Below are 20,281 nucleotides of genomic sequence, written 5' to 3'. Positions count from 1 at the left end.
TTTTCACCATCATTAACAACAACAACAAAAAAAAAAGATAAGGGGAATCCCAAAAGGGCCATGGGACAAATATAGGCTTAGAAATCTGAATTTATTCCTGGGTTCTGTTTTCAGTTTCATCATCTATTTTCTGAAAATGCAACAGTAGAAATTATCGGACCTCTTCTGAATTAGTTTCTGCTAAGTAAGAAAAATATATAACCACCACCTCCTCCAACACCACTACCACCTCCAACACACACACAAATTCATCCCATTCTAAATATGCAGATTGCTGGAAGTAATATGCCAAGTATTCAAAATGGAGATTTAGGTCATGAAGGTGCCCCCAAACTGCCCTGTTTCACTCCCTTCTGGCTCATACTATGCTGAAGACAAAGTGGGCAGTAAATTATGTTGTTTTGAAATTATGATAATTTTGCCACCTTTTAGCATAATAGGAAACAGAGTGTTAACTGTGCAGTCTTCAAGTATGGTTTCTAGATACAATATAACTTTCATTATCATTACAATTTTTCTTCTACCTGGACAACTTGACATTTTCCCAGGGTGTTTAATTACACAGTTTTTTAATTTGTACAAGATTGGGGTGAACAGTTATTTTAGTGAGTTTTAAGCAGGCAAGTTACTCTTCCAGACACATTTTTCCAACCTCTCTCAGCTCTGATTTGGACTTAAGAAAACTCATTTTACTAACTTGCTGAGCATAAAAAATTTGGTGCTGGTGTTTAGCTATCTCAGCGCTGCAGTTTAGAAGGGTAAGTGAAAAACATCCCTCTGAGCTTCAGGGGCCAGAAATGAAGGAGCTCCAGATGACACTCTTGTCCACTCGCTAAGCAGAGCCTTACAGAGGCCATTTTATAAAAGATAGCAATGGGCTAGATATAGAAATTCCACAATGAGATCACACGCTCATACCATGCACCCTACACATTCATCTTGTTTTTAGGAAGTCAGCAGTATTAAAAGCCAGGAAGAAAGAAGGGGATAGTTCAGAAATTGAAGAGTGCAATTTATCCTTTTAATATTTCACTCAGGATTGCCCAGACCCTTGGAATCTGCCTTTATCTAATTTTTGAATAGTACTTTTCACATGTTGTTCCCAGTTTGGGCTACAGTGTCTAAGCTAGGAAACAACAGGGTAAGTTTCAGATAAAATTCTCTGCAATTTTATTTATTTTAACTTTTAAGTTCAGGGGTACATGTGCTGGATGTGAAGGTTTGTTACATAGGTAAGCATTTGTAAAGGGGGTTCATTTTGCAGATTTTTCCACCCAGCAGGTATTAAGCCTAGTATCCATTAATTATTTTTACTGATCCTCTCCCTCCTCCCATCCCCTGCCCTCTGGTAGGCCCCAGTGTGTTGTTCCCCGTGTGTGTCCATGTGTTCTCATTATTTATCTCCCAATTGTAAGTGAGAACATGCGGTATTTGGTGTTCTGTTCCTGCATTAGTTTGCTAAGGATGACGACCTCCAGATCCATCCATGTCCCTGCAAAGGACATGATCTTTTTCCTTTTTACGGCTGCATAGTATTCCATGTATATGTACCACATTCACAGAAAATTCTTTGACTCTATTTCCAGGGCTACTAAACCACAGTTCTTGCCTTATAATTGACATACAGCATCTTTTTGCTTTCATTCATTTCTTCAATTTATTCAACATGTATTGAATGTCTACTACAACTATAGTAAACACAAGCTTTACACTCAGATTGTTCATAGTTGAGTGGTGGGAGATGGGCCAATAAAACTCACTAACACATGGTAGAGTACTGTGATACCAATAGTGCTAATGGAACAAGGCGTGAATGGTGAGAGGGGGGCAGCAGTGGTTAGAAAGGTCTTCCAGGAAACTGTGATATCTGGGAAAACTTTGAAGGATGATGAGGAGCCATCCAGGTTGAGATGTAAAGTGGCTTTCTACTTGGAGAAACAGCATGTCCAAACACAGAGAAGCATGAGAAAATCTGTGTGTCCTTTCAAAAATATGAAAGGTAACAGACCTGGAAGACAGCTGAGTAATTTGCAGAATTACAGCTTTCAGAGTGACCAACCAGAGGTCTAGGTTTCATAATCTAATCATTTGGATCTGTGGCATTCAGGATCCCATTTTAAAGGCCACTTCTTTGATTACCAGTCAGGAAATATAATGACAGGCTGGTTCAAAATGTAAAACTCATTGAGGAGGAGATTCTCCAATGCGATAATCTCATTTCATTTCTTAACATATGATCAAGAATTCCACCAAGATTATTTTTATTTTGTTTTGTTTTAACAACCACCTATTCCTTTCTCACATTCCATATACCTAAGGTGTTGCTCTAACGTGTGTGCAGAGGCCAGTTGATTCTAAAATTAGATCTCTTATTTTTTTTGGAGGAGCAAGTATTATTTGTTTTTATTGTACATCCAAGAAAACAGAGGATCTTATGACAAATGACGAAGCCATGACTGGGCATGGTGGCACAAGCCTGTAATCACTTGAGCCTAGGAGTTCGAGACCAGTCTGGGAAACACGGCAAGACCCCATCTCTACAAAAAATCTTTTAAAAAATTAGCCGAGCTTGATGATGCCTGCCTGTAGTCCCAGCTATTTAGGAGGCTGAGATGGGACGATCGCTTGAGTCCTGAAGATTGAAGCTGCAGTGAGCCAAGACTGTGCCACTGCACTCTAGCCTGGGTGACAGTGTAAGACCCTGTCTCAAAAAACAAAAACAAAGCCACACAATGCGTCAGTGCAGAGAAAGAATTAGATTGAAGGACTCCCAAAAGCTTGGTTTGGGATGAATCTTTAGGATACTAGGAATAAGAGTAAATGCTCTGGAATCTGACTTCAGCAGGCACTCTGTATGTGTGTTGGGGGTTGGTTAGGGATTGACTCCGAGTGAAGCTCTAGGGCAGGAAATAACTCTACCAGTTGGTACTATGAAAGAACTTGAAGCTCACAAACATACAATGAACCTTTTTCTTCTTTAGTTCCTCCTATAACCAAGGACTAGGAGTCAGGACTGCTTCTGCCTCACTTCTTTTATAGGTGACCCTCAGCTCCTTCTCTAGAGCTACCTTTAGTGACCATTTTATCCTAATTTCACTGGTATAAATATAGTGAGGGTCAGAAATAGCCTGATTTGCACCCTGTTCGTGCAAATTATATATGCAAAATTAGGTATAAAAATGAATAATTATTTAGAGCAAGGAAAGAAATCACAACAGGTTGCTGAAGGATTGGAAATTTGGGACTCCTAAAATATCTTTAGCTGAGTTACAAGATGTTCTTACATAGAAACACTTCCTTATTGGAATCTGGCTTTTGTTCTGCACAGACAACATCCTACAAGTCTTAGCCACTCCCAGCACTCACAGGGATCTGTGCAAGTGAGGGACCTGAAGCTTAGACTCCATCAGCTTCCTCCTTCACCCAGATGTGGTATCACTGATGAAGGCTGCAGGAAGATAGCTTGGATAAAAGTCCTGGTTTGCCAGAACAGTCTCGGGTTATGCCTGTTGCTCTTGTCTACATTTTAATAATTCCCTTTCTAAAAACAGTCCTTGTTTGCATGATAAATGATATGGTCACCTATTTATGCTGGTCCCCTCTGTGACCACACAAGCTGGGGCCAGATGGGGAGTTTCAGTTATAATTTTAGTACCCTCACTGGCTTTCTGACCCAGCTGGGTCTGGTAGAATCTGTTTCTCAATCTTAAAGTAGGGGTAATCACATTGACCTACTTACAGTGGGTTGCAAGGAAGGTTCTGTTCTGTTGTGTTTTTCTGTCTTCTTTAAAGGTATTGTGTTGGTATCATATAAATTAGACTTAAAAAAAATTAGTCGTTGGTGTGTACAGCACCTGTCATTTAGAGATGCAAGAATCTGTAAGCAATACCATCTAATCCAGTAAATGTTGTCCTCTCTGTTATGCTTTCATGAAGATCCACCCATCTTCTCGAACAACCTACAGGGTGGAACAGCAGGACATTCAGGCCTAGTTAAAAAGATCTTCTGGCTACCTGTCCTTGGGTTGCTGATTGCATCTGAATGTGATGGTGGAGCTAAGGAAGTATATCTGGGCAATAACTTGCCCTTGGTGGTCACACTGTGTCAGTTCATCACTATAAGAGAAAGGCAGAAAAGCTAAGCCGAAAAGCTCCATCCCCACGAGAAGCTGGTTTGCATGGCTGGACCAGTGAGGATGTCAAGACAGCTCTATTGTGGGTTGGCTGCTGGATCCAACTCCACCACTTCTGAGCCTTTGAGTTATAACATCAAGCACAAACAACCAGGCTTATTTTCCCAGCCAAAGTCACATGCAATGTCAAGGTATCATTAAAAAAAAAAATTGAAGTTTAAAAGGCAGCTTCCTCTGAGTGCTGATTTGGGCACATAAACAGTGGCGTGGTTAAATGCCACTCTGTGTTTAAGGTAATTATACATCAGCCCTGGAATGTAGTGATGTGAAAGCCCCACTGCAGCAAACAAAGTTGATTCTATCAGCAAACTCTGGCAAATCAGCTGGCCTGGATGCTTCTCCCTGAATTTACTACTTCCTACTTGAGAACTGTCTCTGGGAACATCAGAACTTGAAGACAAGTGTGGTGCACTGCCTAGCACTCTAAGGCTGGTGCCAGCTTGTAACCAATGATATGTCTGCAGCAGGGCTTGGGGACCTTGGCCCATAGCAGCTTGCAGTGAGAGCCCTTGGAAACAGCTGAGGCCCATAGGAGTGTCAGTGGTTTGGGTCTGTGCATTGTCATGTCTTACCAGGTCCTGCTGGGGCTGGACTGCCACTGCTCAACAAGCCAAAGACATCCATCCAGAGAAAGGCTGGTGGAGTGGACAAGACTTCTTGGGAAAGGTGACATTCCTAGGGGTCAAGAGATGATGGTTTTTGGCTTCTAGCTCTGGAAGCACTGTCGTAATGGGCCCAAGCAAACGTCTGACTGGTGTAGTCTAACTTTGTTCTACATAAAAGGACACAGGGGCCCATTTATCCTTTTCCACTTTGGAATCATACCTTTCTCGGTGAGGACTCAGTCATCACCCCTCTGCCCTTCATCCTGGTGCCCAATCCCCAACCATGCGCCAAATCAGTGGAACTTTCCTTGTGGTTTTGCGGAATCTTTTTCCTTCATCCCTACAGAATTTCCTTCATGAGTTACTGCTGGCAGCTGTATTTGTGCTAATTAGCTGCCCTTGATGGATTTCTTTCATCCAGTTGTAAATTCTAGAGGAGACATTCCCAGGCCAATTTAAAAGTAGAATTCACAGACCAAACTAAGTGGAAATCAGGTTTGGATGGCCTCCACAGAGCAAGTCAAGCCAATTCCCATGGCACCTGAGCACAGCATTCCCAGGGTGGTAAGTCAAAGTAGTAGAAGGACAGACCTGGAAGAAATCTCACATAGACCTTTAGTTTAGTCACCTCATTTTACAAACTAGGCACTTGGGGCTCATAAAGGTGAATTAACTTGTCCTATCTCACCGCTATTTGCTGGTCACCTCTGAAAGTAACAAGGTATGGGTGGCTCTGTAGACTACAGGGGAATTACCCCGTTGCCTTCTGCGACACCTTGAATACAGCTGTCATAAGGAAAGGCCTTGTCTGTTATTGTCAAGTTCATCTTTTCTTTTCAACTTCTAACTTTTTTTTCTCATGGAGTAATATTATACCCCTAAAGAAAACATATGGAATCCAGCTGTTGAGATATGTCAGATATTCCAAAAAGCATACAAAGTAGCTGACCTCATTTTGGTAAGTACCATGGACGAGCTGCTAGAAGGCACAAAACTCCCTAAACATCTGGACAGAGCTGGGTCCTAGGTTCCAGTAATACACTGTCCACTAGCAAAAAGCCTTTATGCTCTTAGTGTGGAGTAGTCTACGGTTTCTCATCTGTCTCTGGTACTTTCAGAGTCATCAGGGAAGCTTCTGTGAGGTGGTGATGTAGGAAGGTTTGTTTTATGGGGTATTTGGGAAGAAATCTTCTTGGTCATATTTATGACAACTCTTCCAAAGGGTAACTATTTGTTTACGTGCTGACCTCGGATCCGTTAAAGGTGAAAGCCAGGACCTTTCTTCTTCTTTTCCTTTCCTCTTTTTTTTTTTTCTTTATCCTCCTCCTCTTGCATACCTTAAAGCCCAGCTATGCTATTTAACTTAATAAACAGACATCCACAGAAGTCTTTGTGTAAGTGATACTGTATCCATTGGGCAATTGTTGAACTCTGGCCTCCTGTACATGTATTAAAAATAAGTGTTTCTTCATATTGTTCAGCTTCTGTATAGATACTATGTATATTCATGTTTTCATGTAAATACAAGAAGACTTGCGCTTTACTGAATCAAGACCAGGACATTTTTGTATAAAACTTATGTCATGAAACACTTCTGTTATGTGCAAAGCAATTATTTGAAGTAGTGCCAAAATCACAGTTAAGGGAATTCTAAATCACCCAATGATTGATTATATTTTTTGTCTTACAACAAATTATTTGAAATTCTTTAAACATATAGAAACCAAGAATCATCTGGACTTCTTTATTATTACATATATAATATATGTAATTATATATGAAATAATATATCATATATAATAATATATATTCATCATCAGATGAAACTGTCAATTCTTCATAGAAATACATTTATAATTGTATTATAATAATTTACTGAATGCAATGGATTAAAATAATTTCCATTTCAATTGAATGATTCTGAAAGCAAATCACAAGTAATCATCTTCCCACCCAAACCTGTTTCTCCTATAGATTCCTCATTTTAGCCAGGGGCTACTCCATCTACCCAACCCCTGAGGCTGGAAAACTGGGAGTCATTCTTGATACCTCTCAGCCCTCAGCCTTCACATTCAACCTATCAGCAAGTCCTGTTATTTCACTTCAAAAATATATTTTGACTCTGCCTATTTCCCTCCTAACTCCATTTACTCCAGGCTTCCCAAGCCACCATCATTTCTTTGCTGGACCACTCATCAGTAGTCTCGCAACAGGTCTCGCTCCTGCCATACTTGCTTCTCTCCAGTCTGTTCTGCTCAAAGCAACCAGAATGACCTTTTAACGAATATGAGCAAGCTGTGCTCTTGTCTCCACTTCCTTAACATAGGTCTAGATCTCTTGCCGCTTTTCCCTTGGCTCTCTACACTCTAGTTGCCTTGGATTTCTTTTGGTATTGAAAGTGATCTGAAACATTTCCTTCCTCTCCCTCCTCTGAACCCTGCCCTAGACCCTGACCAGTTTCTTTTCATCCTTGGGCCTTAATAAAATGTCAGTCTTCTAAAAAGTTTTACACCCAGACTAAGGCAAGTAATGCAGCGTACCCAGAGAAAGTAATTGTTATTCTCACAGATAACACCTGGTTCTTCTCTTTCAAAACCCTCACCACAATCTGCATTAGTATATATGATATATAATTCCATATATATAATGCCTAACTTCACTCATAGACTGTAAGCTCCATGAGGGCAGATATCACATATGTTCTGGCTCCGTGCAGGTATATAATAAATTTTCATTAAACACTTGCAAGTAAATGGATCATTATTGCCATGCATTTATCTATTGCATGTTTTATTTTAAAGTGCATGAGTGTTCTAATACCCCTAAATTAAGGTACATATTGACCAGATGATTTTATCCCCCTTCTACAGATAGTGAAACAGGTTTAAAGAAGAAAAATAAGTTAGGAAAGGTGGTTTAAGTTCCTTGAGTTCAGAGCTGACTAATTCATAGAAAATAATAATAATTATAATGATTAAAATTTATTGTTCTCTTAATATATGCAAGAGTGTTCCAATAACATTAACTCATTTAATCCCTTCAACAACCCTACGAGGTAGGTAGCATTATAACCATCCTTTTCTTACAGATAAGGAAATGGAAGTACAAACTAGTTAGGTAATTTGCCCAAGGTCTCAAACATATATGTGCAGCAATATATCATATTAAATATATGTTACATAATAGGCCCACATTCATGTTCGTTATCTCACTGACAAGCAATTCTAACATACTGAGCTTTTCTCAATCAGGTTTTCCATTATGAGCAACACTGCATCTGGAAGAATGATTTCTGGTTCCTCTTGGTCATCATTCCCTGTCTTCCCTCTACCTCTCCAGCCCTTGCTCTCTCTGCCTTCTCTCTTCCCTTTTCTTCTTTTTCCCCCCACTCCCTGCTGTTCAGTAGTAAAATCTCTGACAGAGCCACTTTTTTGCCAGGCTATCATATACAAGGTCAGTGTTCCCACATTCCAAAGGTAGGTAAAAATGTGTGTGGAGAGCAGGGAATTCTGCCAGAACAATGACTCACTGTGTTACATGCAAAACGGTTCAATAATAGGTCACTGCCTTAGCAAGAGCAACACTGCCTGTCCCTACGGAAAATAAGGGGGCTTCCACATGGCACTCCTGATGCTTTAATAGAAGCTTTGTATGACAAACGGGAAAGCTATACCCATCTTAAACCATATACTGGCTTTTTGTTTCATGGGCATATGAGGTGAGTTTCAAAAAGGGAAGTGTATAAAATGCAGTTCTTGACATGTAATGTCACACGTATTCATAGTAAGCATGCACACAAAGTCACCTCTAGGTTACTCAGCTAATTACATAGGTGGTGGAATATCTGGTTCCTTTGCTTCTCCAAGTGGCTTGTTTACTAGTTTGTTTTTTGGCTCATGTTCCTGTTCATTAGAACTTCCATTAGCAGAAATATAGGATTATGGTGGAACTGGATGGGCTGCTTCTTGTCTTGTTTTCTTCCAGGCTCAGCCTAGAATGCATAAAAATGGCTGGAGCCCTCTCTCATGCCTCAGTTCCCTTGAGCCTGTGTTCTTTACCACCCCAGGCCAGTAAACCCCACCTTAGGATCAGCCCCAAAACCAGCTTCCTTCACCAGCATAACACTGCTGCTGAGGAGGAAAAAAGGAGCATCCCTTGCAGATTGGGACTCTCAGACATTTATGATTCACCTGATCTTTAAGACCGCCTCACAGCTGTGTGGCTTATCTTCAGCTCCCTTGTCCATTCCCCTCCACAGCTGTTCCAAACCCTTTAATCTAGTCTAAGCCAGTAGTTCTCAACATGGGCAACCCATTACAGTCACTCCAGGACCTGTTAAAAATCCCAGTGCCTAGGCTGCATCTTAGAACACTTAAATTGTATTCACTGGCACTGGATCCAAGCATCAGTACTTTTTTAAAGCTCCCTAGATAACCCCGGTAAGTGTACAGCCGAGGATTAGAGCCATTGCTTTAAGCTAATAACATCACCTCCCACTTCATCAGAAAATGGAAGGCTGTCAACTACAGACATCTCAACTTCCTATCCTCTCATGCGCCTTTCTACATCCACCCCCAACCTGCTGTCCTTCCCTCAGTCTTAGAGGTTGGTATGTCCTTCTTTCTATTTCAGGATAACACTTCAAACTATGGCCTTTATACCCATATCTTCCAAGATCTAATCTCTTCCTTTCAACTAGATCTTTCCTTTCAGATTATAGGCAAGCTTAAGTCTCCTGCATCTTTAGAAAGGTATCTTTGGAACTCATCACCTCTACCTGTATCTCTAGTTCCACATGTAACTACTTCCCACATAATTCTTTGTGCTCTGGTTATATTCTCCTTGGAATACCACACTTTCTTAGCTAACTAATCTTTTATAACTTGACTCAGTTGCTACATCCTCCATGAAATGTTTCTAGAATTCACTGGGTGGATCATGACTCTCCTGTACATTATTTTCAAGTGAGGTTCTTCCTTTGTTTTTCCCCTCCTCTCCTTTCAAATATCAGCTCCTTGAGGGCAGGAACCATGTCATTTTCACCTTTGTTACAGCAGTACCTGGCTCACCATATGCTTGTCGAAGTGAATGTAAAACAATTTTCCACCTAGCTTCTTGGGCAGAATGATGTGGTCTAACTGGCTGTGAGTGATTTTCATTCCTGCAGGCCCCTGTGCTTTTATTTTCATGGATAACTGCTAGAGAAGTTACCTGGGGCAATTCTTGGGACATTATTTGGGGTTTTATATTATGCCACAGAATAATGTCATGTTTACTTGCTTAGGATGAATTTATAAACAAATCTAATACATGAATCTTCTCATTAGCATCTCCATACTTTCTAAGGCCATAACTCCGACAATAATGATTAGTAATAGAAGAAATAAGGATCAACAATGTGGCTTGTCTCTTAATATACAGTTTTAGAAATTAAAATTCATATCCTAACACAGTCAATGCTTTATTTTAGAATCCAACACCATTTCTTTGCAGCTAGGCAGTGCTGACCTACCTCTGCAGAGCAGCTAGAACAGGCTGGACTACTATACTGAGCTTTTAGTGGCAGCAGCTGCTAAAAGTTTTTGTTTCCTTTTATTTTCCTCTTAAACTCTCCTTTAAAAATACAGTACAGGTTACTCCTCAGTCATACTCTAAATGCTTAGCCCCTTCAGTGGAGTAGTCAAATCCCTACTCTGCCTGATTAATTAGCTGAGTAAATCTAAGAAACTCCTCAACCTTATGGCCTCTCTTTCTGCCAAGTTTTGTATAACTCATAGACTGCATGTATTCATAAGCACAAGAAAACACCTGTGAGCAATTAACCACAGACCCTTGATTTAGAGGCATTGGAAGTATGCTGATGGCCCTTAGATTGTTGTCACAGGTCTATAATTATGTGAGACCACAACCAAATCATCCCAGCAGTCCAATTAAAGGAAGGGTCATTCTTTCAACTATAACATGATGCTGCTTCTAAAAATAATTCTGCCTGAGATCCAGAAAAAAGTATTCTTTAAGAGGGTGCTGCTTTAAAGGAACCATACATGGGAGTTTGAAGATGGTAGTGCCTCAGGATATTTCTCTGAAATGTGTATATAACCAATACATGGGGAAAAGAGACCACAAAAAACAATTAAAAATTCACTGAATTGAAAATCCTGTTTAAAATTATCCACCCAGAAAATATTGCATATAACTCTTTGTTTCTGTTTAGCCTAGAAACAATAATTACAGAGTTAATAAACCAAGTCTGCAACCAATAGTGTGACCGGTGAAAATATAAGAATCTATCTTTTAGAGTAGACAGTCCACTGTAGAATTATGAAACAAAAAGACAATCTTTGTTTCGTAAGATTGAATTCTCATTCTACGGTGTATGTTACCCTGTATTCCATGTGACTAGAATACTTAAGCCTTGCAACATTGAAGAAAAGTCACCTATTTCTAGAATCAGGCAAAAAAAACAAAAAAACAAAAAAACCAACCAACCCAAAGTTCCTAGAAAAAAAGAGTTCTTAACCAAGCGCAGATGTGTTTCATGAGCTATGAGAATCCCCAGAATTCTTGAACATTTTGTGTGCATGTGTATTTTTCAGGCAGAAGAGTGGGAAGTGCCTGTAGCTGCACTGTCCTATGTAATGGTCACTACTGCATGTGGCTATTGAGTGTTTGATACGTGGTAGCTTCAATTGAGGTGTGTGGTACGTGTGAAATTCACACTGGATTTTGAGCGATAGTGATAAAAATATATAAAATATATCATTAATAATTATTGTATTGATTAATATTGAAATAATATCTGTATTGGGCTAAATAAAATATATTGTTAATATTAATTTCATCTATATATTTTTACTTTAAAAAATATGGCCACTAAAATTACATATGTGGCTCACATTGTATTTCTGTTGAATGGTACTGGGTCTACAGCTTCCATCAGTTTTTCAAAGGGCTCTTTTTCTTAGAGCAAAGAGGGACTTGTTAAGATGTAAATGCTCATCTTTCAGGCTGCATATGCTGTCTCAGTGGGCCTTGAATCAAGCCCAGCACCGGGGAGCTATGATGCTGACAAAACTGTCCTTGGATTACATTTGGAGTTGCGCTGCCTTGGAAACCTCTAACATTGCTGGTGTTTTCAGATACACATTGATCCATTCATTACTTTACCACTCACACAGACTCCATAATATCTCTCCCTCCGGATTTAGAAGTACACATATCCACAAATCTGCTCAATCTGTCTTCTTGGATTCTTCACCTACAAATTGAACATATTAGCACCTCTTACCCCGATACTGCTCCATCTCTTGCATTTTCTATCTGGGTCACAGGCATCTTTGAATTCCTCCTCTCCTTATTCCCTCACCACACCCACACATGCAAACAATCATTAAGACCCATCAGTCTCTTGAATACACCTGTTTGTGTTTCTTTGTCACCAATGCCTAGATTATTGTCATAACCTCCCAACTTGCCTCTCTTTCTCCACATTACCTTTCTCACAGCTGTCACAGTTCATTTTAAAATCATGAATCTGATTATATTACTCTCTGGTTCAAAGATTAAATTAGAAACTCCTCATTTTGGCCAAAAAGGTCCTCCATAAACTGTCTCAATTCTGGTTTCGTCTCCACTCTCCTTCCTATATACTTTCCAGTCACACCACGGTTTTCTTTCATGCTTCCAAGCCATTGCACCTGTGTGTCCCTTTGCCTGAATTCCTTTTCCTCCCCTTTGCTTTCAAACCCCACATTATCACTAGCTCAACTACAGCTACTTTTGGACTCTTATAGCACTTTTTATCTATTCCCATTATGGCACATATCTATCATGTTATATTGAATTTATTTGACTCTGACTTTTTGTCCTTGCTGCCTAGTGCTGAGAACTGGTAGGGGTTTATTTAATATCCAGAGAAATTCCAAGTAGTCTTGTTTGTGCAGATCTTTCAAAAGTACAGTTCTCCAACTTTATGAGTAAGAGTTTGAAGGTGCCTTAGAGGTCTTCTAGTCTACCCTCTTATTCCATGATGAGCAAAATCAAGACCTACAGAAGTTGAGTCATCACTTAGTGAGTGCCTGCTATCTCAGTTCATCTTCATAATGACCTTTGAAGTAGGCATTTCTACTAATACCCATTTTATAGAAGTGAAATTGAGGCCTCAGTGAATGTAAGCAATTTAGGCCCAAGGTCATGTAGCCGGTTACCTGGCAAGATAAAATTAGAATTCAGGTCTTCTTATAGTTGGCCTAGGCATCTTTCCCTTGTCTCACATTGCTATTTACAATTTGCAGCATTCCCTGAGTTATTCAACAGAAGCAATGATGATATATTTTGTACAGAGAGATGGAGTGTTTTCATGGAAAGAACCAAATTACAACAATGAGGCTGGTTTTATCCTTTGCTCTGTGAATTACTAGCTACTCTAGTCTCATCTAGAGTTGACTAAATGGAGAGATTTAAATTACCTGTATTTGTTGTTAATACAAAATAAGGATGGATATAAACATAAAATTAGACATATGAAAGGATTAAATGCACTATATTATTTCAACTTGCAGATGTTCAGGCATTTCTTTTGAAAATATTTTGTTATGAAAATAATTGGTGTTCATTATGGAATACTAGAAAACTATAAAAATAAATAGAAGAAAAAGATCACCTCAAGATTATTATTAACATTTGATATAATTCTTCCCAGTTTTCTCTATGCAGTTTTTCTTTGACATATTTGTGATCATATAAAATTTTTCTGCCACTGTTTTTTTTTCATTTTACATCATGACATAAGCATTCCCCCATTATCGCTATATAATCTTCATTAGCATAATGTTTCATGGCTACATAATAGTCCATCAGCTACTCACAGCATAATGCTTAGAGTTGTTTGATAAAGTGACATATAAAGGCATGAAATCCAGCAAGTTGGTAGTATGACAGCATTAACAGTTCAAAAGGACCTTAGATCTCTAGTGCTATGCGTATCCAAGTGTGAGCCCCAGACTGACAGCATGCGCATCATCTGGAAGCTTGTTAGAAATGCAGATTCTTGGGCCCTACCCTAGTCCTACTGAATTCAAATCTGTGTCTTAGTAGGATCCTTGGGTGATTTGTGGACACAGTAAAGTCGAAGAGAAAATGAGAAAAAACAGTGATTCTCAATCTTGACCGTACTTTAGGAAGATCTTCAAAATTTCAATGCCCAGGTTACACTCCAGACTAAATAAATCAGAATCTCTAGAGGTGGGACCCATGCATCAGTCTTTTTTAAAGCAGCCCTGGTTATTTCAATGTGTTCAAGAGCCATGGAAGAAGGAACAGAATCCCTACCTCAAACTGATTAGATGATGTTTATGCAGCCACTCTCCTTAGTGCCAGAATTCTTTCTACTAGGGAGAACTCTGAATTTCTATGGGAAGTTCTGGTAAAATAAGACCCCATAATACCTTTAAGGAAATTTAAGTTAAGAAATTTCCTTATATTTCCCATTCGTGTTTTCCTTTCTGCTCCTCCCTAGCCTCCTTCTCCATTTTTCCCCTCTCCAAAGAGATTCCTGGCTTGACACTCTCTGGAGATCCTGCTCAGAGACCACAAAGCCTGGTTTTCCTGTATCACAGAGCCAAGAAGCAATAGAAAGATTACTCGATTTCTTCTCAATAATTGTATTTGTTCTGGCACATTCTCCTGCTTGCAAGACCCACATCCAATTTCTCTTATGCCTGTATTTAAGCAAGCCAGGGGATTTGGAAACTCTGCCTCTGTCTACACAATGCCACAACCATGGGTTGAAAGAAAAGTCAAAGTCATAGCCATCAGTTGTTTTTCTAATTTTCTTTTCCATCAATTGACCACTGAAAAAACAAACACCTGAGTCAACTTGGAAGGCTTTGTTCTCCAAGTCCTGAAGAATGTTTGACAATTTCTAACCCTGGGACCTGGGGAAAATATACTTTTTCAAAACTGAAAGTTATAGTATTATTTCCCTTTTCTACACAAAATTGGACCATACCACATACTCTGAATATTTTGACTTATGTAGAGAATTTTATGATGGAACCCTAGGAAACTGGCATTAGACTTGACCAATAAAAAGTGATTTTTAAAATTCTTCAACCTTTAAACTCAGTTGGAGCAATGTTGGGGATCCTGGTTCTAATCTTTTCCCATTTTTAACCCCTTCAATTTTTCCTTCGGTTTCTAATATTTGTTTTTATTTAAAATATATTTTAAACTTTTTATTCTAAGTAGGATACAAAAATTAAACAGATGTTTAGCTAATAATGGCCAACCAAATACAAGCATTTATCTCTTTTTCTGTTTGCAAGTCACCAAAGATTGCAGCTTTTTTTTTTTTTAAAAAAAAAGGGATTAAAAAAAGAATAGGATGGGACCTATCAGCTTATGAGAGAGTTAAGAATATTCTAGAAGATAGGAGTGGTTGGAGGAATAATGGCTTGGAGAAAGGAGGCTGCGCTGTTTATTTACTGACTCCCCCACCCCCGGGTCCATTGGCCGAGGGCTGCCCTGGGACTGAGCCTGTGCCTAGGTCAAGAGAGCTAGGACTGCCAGTTGAAAGATGAGTCAGCACTTGTACAGAACTGTCCACCACAAATGCAGATGAAACTAGAGGCGGACTGCAGGCACGTGATGCTTGCACCAGAAATGACTCTATAGCCACATACAGCTGGATGTGGAAGAGCTCAATCCTCTATCTGAACATGATATTCCTGCTTAAAAACTTTCAGAGGTTTCTCTGCTGACTGAGCAGAGCAGAGGAATGGGCTTCGGATTCTTCAAGCCCTGAAACTTTGTGTGTATGTGCCTATTTTGGATGAGAAGATCCATAATTTTCATCACATTTTCAAAAGGGTATATGTTAAGTGTTTAAGAACCACAAACACAAAACCCTAATCCTTAACATGACAGGTGAGGCCCTACACAATCCAGACTAACCAACCGCTCTTGAGCCGCATCTCCTGCCAGTCGGCTCTCCCCCATCTCCCCTTACTCAGTGAACATTAAATTCCAGCCACAGAACTTCTCATCCCATCTCAAACATGCTATAAGCTCTTTAATCTCTCTCTGATTGAACGCATGCCTTTCTCTCTGCCAGGAATGTTGCTCCTCCTTTGCCACTTCCTCTGCCCCTTCTCTGCCTGGTGAATTTGCTTTTATCCTTTAAGACTCAGCAAAAACATCACCTCTGTGGCCCTCTCCCTCCTTCCTAGTGTTCTCCCCAACCGTTTCCTGAGCAATCCATACACCGATGTCTGTGGAGTTCACCCTTTGGTAGAGTCATTGTTTGTTTATGTGCTGCTCTCTTCTACTTGTCTGTGAATTCTTGAAAGCACAGACCATGGCCCTCACCACTCCAAACCATAACTTGGAACATAACAGACAACGATAATATTGATGCAACCAGTGAGAAATGAATGACTCCATTTATTAGCTTGGCCACCTGTCTCTTGGATCTTACAGAGAACCTGACCCCGAGAGACTGGGATATTCATAACTAGGTTTCCTGTCCAGGTTGTTAGAATCTGTCCTGGTTTAAATGTACATTTCTGATTCCTATACATCTTTTAAGAACCACTATGAAAAAAGAATAATCAGAGAACAAGAAAGGATACTTGAAATTAAAAATGTAATTGATGACATCAAAAATTTAGTAGGAGGTTTGGAAGATAGAGCTGTAAAAATCTCCCAGAAAGTAGAGAAGCCACCCCCCAAGGCTGGTGCACATGCCCTCCTTGTAGCATGTAGGACATTCCTTCTCACCAGTGCATTTATTTGTCACCCTGCATTGTGGTAGCCACTTTATGGATCACTGATTCCCAATAAATAGGCTGGGCTTCCTTGGAGCAGGGACTGTCTCTTCCTCCCCATCACTTATCCTGTGCACTAACGTACATGTGTATTGAAAGAATGAATGACAAATGTGTATGAAGGAGTGAAGGCAAACTTCAGTTGGGCTGGGGGTTGAGGGGAAGCTTTGCTGAGGTTAGAGGAAAAGGTGAATGAGGGTATATCCCTGGGGAACACTAGGGAAGATCCAGGCTAGGGGGAATAAACAGGTTCACAGCTACTGCAAGCGTGGCTGAACAGGGAAAGTGTGACTGGGCAGATGCAAGGGGTTGAACCACCAAGAAAAAGCCTGAGAGAAGGAAGGGGAGGTGGAAGGTCACTCAGGATTTCATCTTTCCTTAGGAATGACTTCATGCCAGGCATTGTGTTAAGGACTTTCCATGCATTCTCTTACTTAAGCTTCACAAAACCTTATAAAGTTGTAATTACTACTACAGCCATTTTCCAGGTGATAAGGATAGGTGTACAAACAATAAGTATCTGACCTCAGATTCTAGAGCTGGTGGTCACAGAACCAGGATTTGAGGGAAAAGTCTGATTATGTCTGTGTTGTTTTAATCACCAGGCTACTCTCTCTGGCAAAGGATCCCAAGCCGAACCTCTCATATTTTGTTCCACTTTGCCTAGGTCGGCAGTCCTGGGTGCCCAGAGCACACTCTGCAGATCACAGCTCGTAGGCTCCTAGCTGGGGATTGCACAGCTCCCTCTCCCAAATCACCGCAGTCTCCTTTTCCCAGAAAAAGCTGTGTGGGAGAGAGTAAATAGCTGGGTTTGGGAATAATGGTTTTCTTCTGTTTTGTGTTACTGGATCTGATGCACAGAAAACTGCCCAGAGCCTCAAATAATTACAGTAAGACGACTCCGCTTCCTTCACGTGGCCACAGCAGACAGGCAGGAGCCCAGACACACTGCAAAGCAAGTGCTGTGACTGTGAGATGGGAAAAGGCAGGAACCCAGAGTCAGGGATTCCTGACGGAACCGCAACCGCAAGCACAGCGTGGCACTCGGCAGAAACCGGGAAAGGGGCCCCACCCGGAAGGCCGGTGACTTGTTTCATTTTAAAGTCACTTAATAAAAAGCCCATTTAGACATATAGTTAAGTAAGGGAAATGGCAAGTTTTAAGATGATTCATGTAGTGCAGTACCATCTGTGTTAGGACAAAAAGCCCAACAAAGCGTGCAGACTGGAAGACCATCCACTTCCTGCTGCCAGCCATCATCCCTGAGGAGCGAGTGGTATGGGGGAGGGAGGGAGACCTTGGCTTTACCTGTATTTTGGAAATATTACTTACATGGCAATCATGTATTATTGGATGATGAAAAATGGTCAAGTAAATTTGAGAAACTTGAACCTAGTCATTTCTTTGTCAGTCAACATTAGAGTTGGCACCTCAGTGGCAGGGCCAATTCTTTCTTTGGTCTTCATGACCATGCCCCGTTTGCCCCCTCAGTTTTAAACTGGATACACAATAATACACTTTCCACCCTAAGGTACCAAATATTGATAGTTTCATAGTGTGAGTCAGAAGACATGGAAGAAGTCGTCTGATCCTGCACATACATGGATGAAGAAAGGGTGGTCACCCCTTTCTTCCATTCTCCCGCTGTCCCCCACAGCAGCGTGATGGCCAGTGTTAGGTGTCAACTTGGCTGGGTTAAGGAATATGTAGAAACCTGGTAAAGCACTGTGTTGGCTGTGTCTGTGAGGGTGTTTCCAGAGGAGATTAGCATGTGGGCCTCAGGGGAGTAGTGGGGGAAGACCCACCCTCAGTGTGGGTGGGCATCATTCAATCTACTGGGGACCCGGACAGAATAAACACAGAAAAGAAAGTGCAGACCTGTCTGCTGGAACCGGGATACACCATTCCTCTCCTGTCCTTGAACAACAATTCCAGGCTCGCCAGCCTTTGGTCTGGAGAACTTATGCCAGCCCCCTCCCCACCTCAGGTTCTCAGGCCTTTGGCCTCAGACTGAGCATTACACCTTTGGCTTCCCTGGTTCTGAGGCCTTAGGACTTGGGCTGAGCCATGCTAGGTCAGCATTCCTGAGCATCCCAGAGTCTCCAGCTTGTGTATGGCGTGTCACGGTCTTCCCAGCCTCCATTTGCATGAGCCAATTCCCCTAATAAATTCCCTCTCATATCTCTCCCTATATTTATCCTATTGGCTCTGTCTCTCTGGAGGACCCCAACTAATACATGCAACCTCCCTGCTTTTCAGCATTCATTTCAGACACTCAATCCTAGAGCTATTGGGATAGAAATAATTCATGGACTGAGCCCAGGAGAGCCAGGGTCACCTAAGTATTATCCCAGGGTCAGAGCATCATTAGGACAGAGGTGATGGGAGAGGGCTGGGGACTAGAGATTGTTCCTTGGAAAAGGCCTGCAGAGTGCCCAGCAGGGGTGTACATATGTGCATGTGTATGTGAGGATGTGCATGTGTCTCACATATATGTGCTTATATGTGTGGGCATGTGCATATTTGTATGTGTGACTGTGTATATACATTAATATGTGTGCTTGTTGTACGTATGGCTGTGCCTGTGTATTTCTGAATGTCCATGTGTATTACTGGCTGTGTGTGAGTTGGTGAGTTTGAGGATATTTGTGTGGAATGGATCATTCTTTCCCCAGGCCAGAAGGCCAAGGAGATGCTACCAAGTGCTTGAAGACTTGATGTCACATTCTTGACTACACCCACCCCCCTAGAACTTCCTGGCATCTCACTGTGATGCACAGGCATGGCAAAGGATAACGCTTACCTTACCCTGGAGAGAACACACTTTCTCTAGCCTCAGAAACTAACCCATCATACTTCTGGCTGCATTATCAATTTTCAATTAAGACACCAATTTCTCTGACCCTCTGAAGACAACAGCATGGAGCCTGAGTAATAAAGTGGAGTGGGTTCAGTGTATCCAGCCTCAGCAGTAGGAAGGACACAAGTTCTGAGACTCGGGGGTACAGCTCTTCCTGATATGACCACTTGAATTCCCTTTACAGATGAATAAAGTGATATCTTGTGACTCTGGTTGCCTTCTCTTTCAACAGGTCTCAAAATGTATAGCCCACATCCTGTTAGCAACATTTGCACATACCATTTCCAATGATAGAAAGAGTCATATTCCAGATCCAATAGAAAGCTAATCCTGTATAGTCTTGATCTGCTGGGTGCCATTTCTGCAGATGGGGGCATGACACCTCCCTGAAGTGCCTTTTAAGGTATATATTCTCTCTCAGCATTTTCACGAGGGACATTCAAGTAGAGCATACATCTTTTGGGGTAAGACATAAGCAACATAATTATAGGGACTCCAAATACTTCACGTGTGGAGACATTAAGAAAGAATGATTTCTTTCCCTTATTTGATGTAGCAAATTCAAACCCATCCTCTTCAAACCCATCCTAAAATTGGAATAAATAATGTAATGCAAATATATGTAAAGTGCTTTGTTAAACAGATGCTTGAAGGCAGCATGCTCGTTAAGAGTCATCACCACTCCCTAATCTCAAGTACCCAGGGACACAAACACTGCGGAAGGCCCCAGGGTCCTCTGCCTAGGAAAACCAGACCTTTGTTCACTTGTTTATCTGCTGACCTTCCCTCCACTATTGT

The 20,281-nt window shown here is 40.9% G+C and overlaps 1 protein-coding gene across 14 annotated transcripts in view, besides 1 other annotated feature; it reads right to left on the bottom strand.

The window, feature by feature from the left end:
* The window catches only part of FRMD6 (FERM domain containing 6), a 334,297-nt gene that overhangs the window by 105,236 nt on the left and 208,780 nt on the right, over positions 1-20,281 (bottom strand). For 3 of the 14 annotated variants that reach the window (XM_047430926.1, XM_047430933.1, XM_047430927.1), the window contains one exon: positions 4,766-4,868. The exons of the other annotated variants lie outside the window; for them this stretch is intronic. The gene's annotated coding sequence lies outside the window, so the exon portion shown is untranslated. The remainder of the gene's footprint in view (positions 1-4,765; positions 4,869-20,281) is intronic. 14 annotated transcript variants of the gene reach the window in all.
* Positions 15,476-15,525: an enhancer, noted in NCBI's record as "active region_8374". NCBI's record gives its function as "activates an Ori minimal core promoter by ATAC-STARR-seq in GM12878 lymphoblastoid cells {active_cell/tissue: GM12878}" and the evidence as "EXISTENCE:reporter gene assay evidence [ECO:0000049][PMID:35858748]".

The sequence above is a fragment of the Homo sapiens genome, chromosome 14, assembly GCF_000001405.40.
Source record: "Homo sapiens chromosome 14, GRCh38.p14 Primary Assembly".
Taxonomy (NCBI): Eukaryota; Metazoa; Chordata; class Mammalia; order Primates; family Hominidae; genus Homo; species Homo sapiens.
The sequence above is the reverse complement of the archived record's forward strand: the minus strand, read 5'-3'. Positions and strand labels throughout refer to the sequence as shown.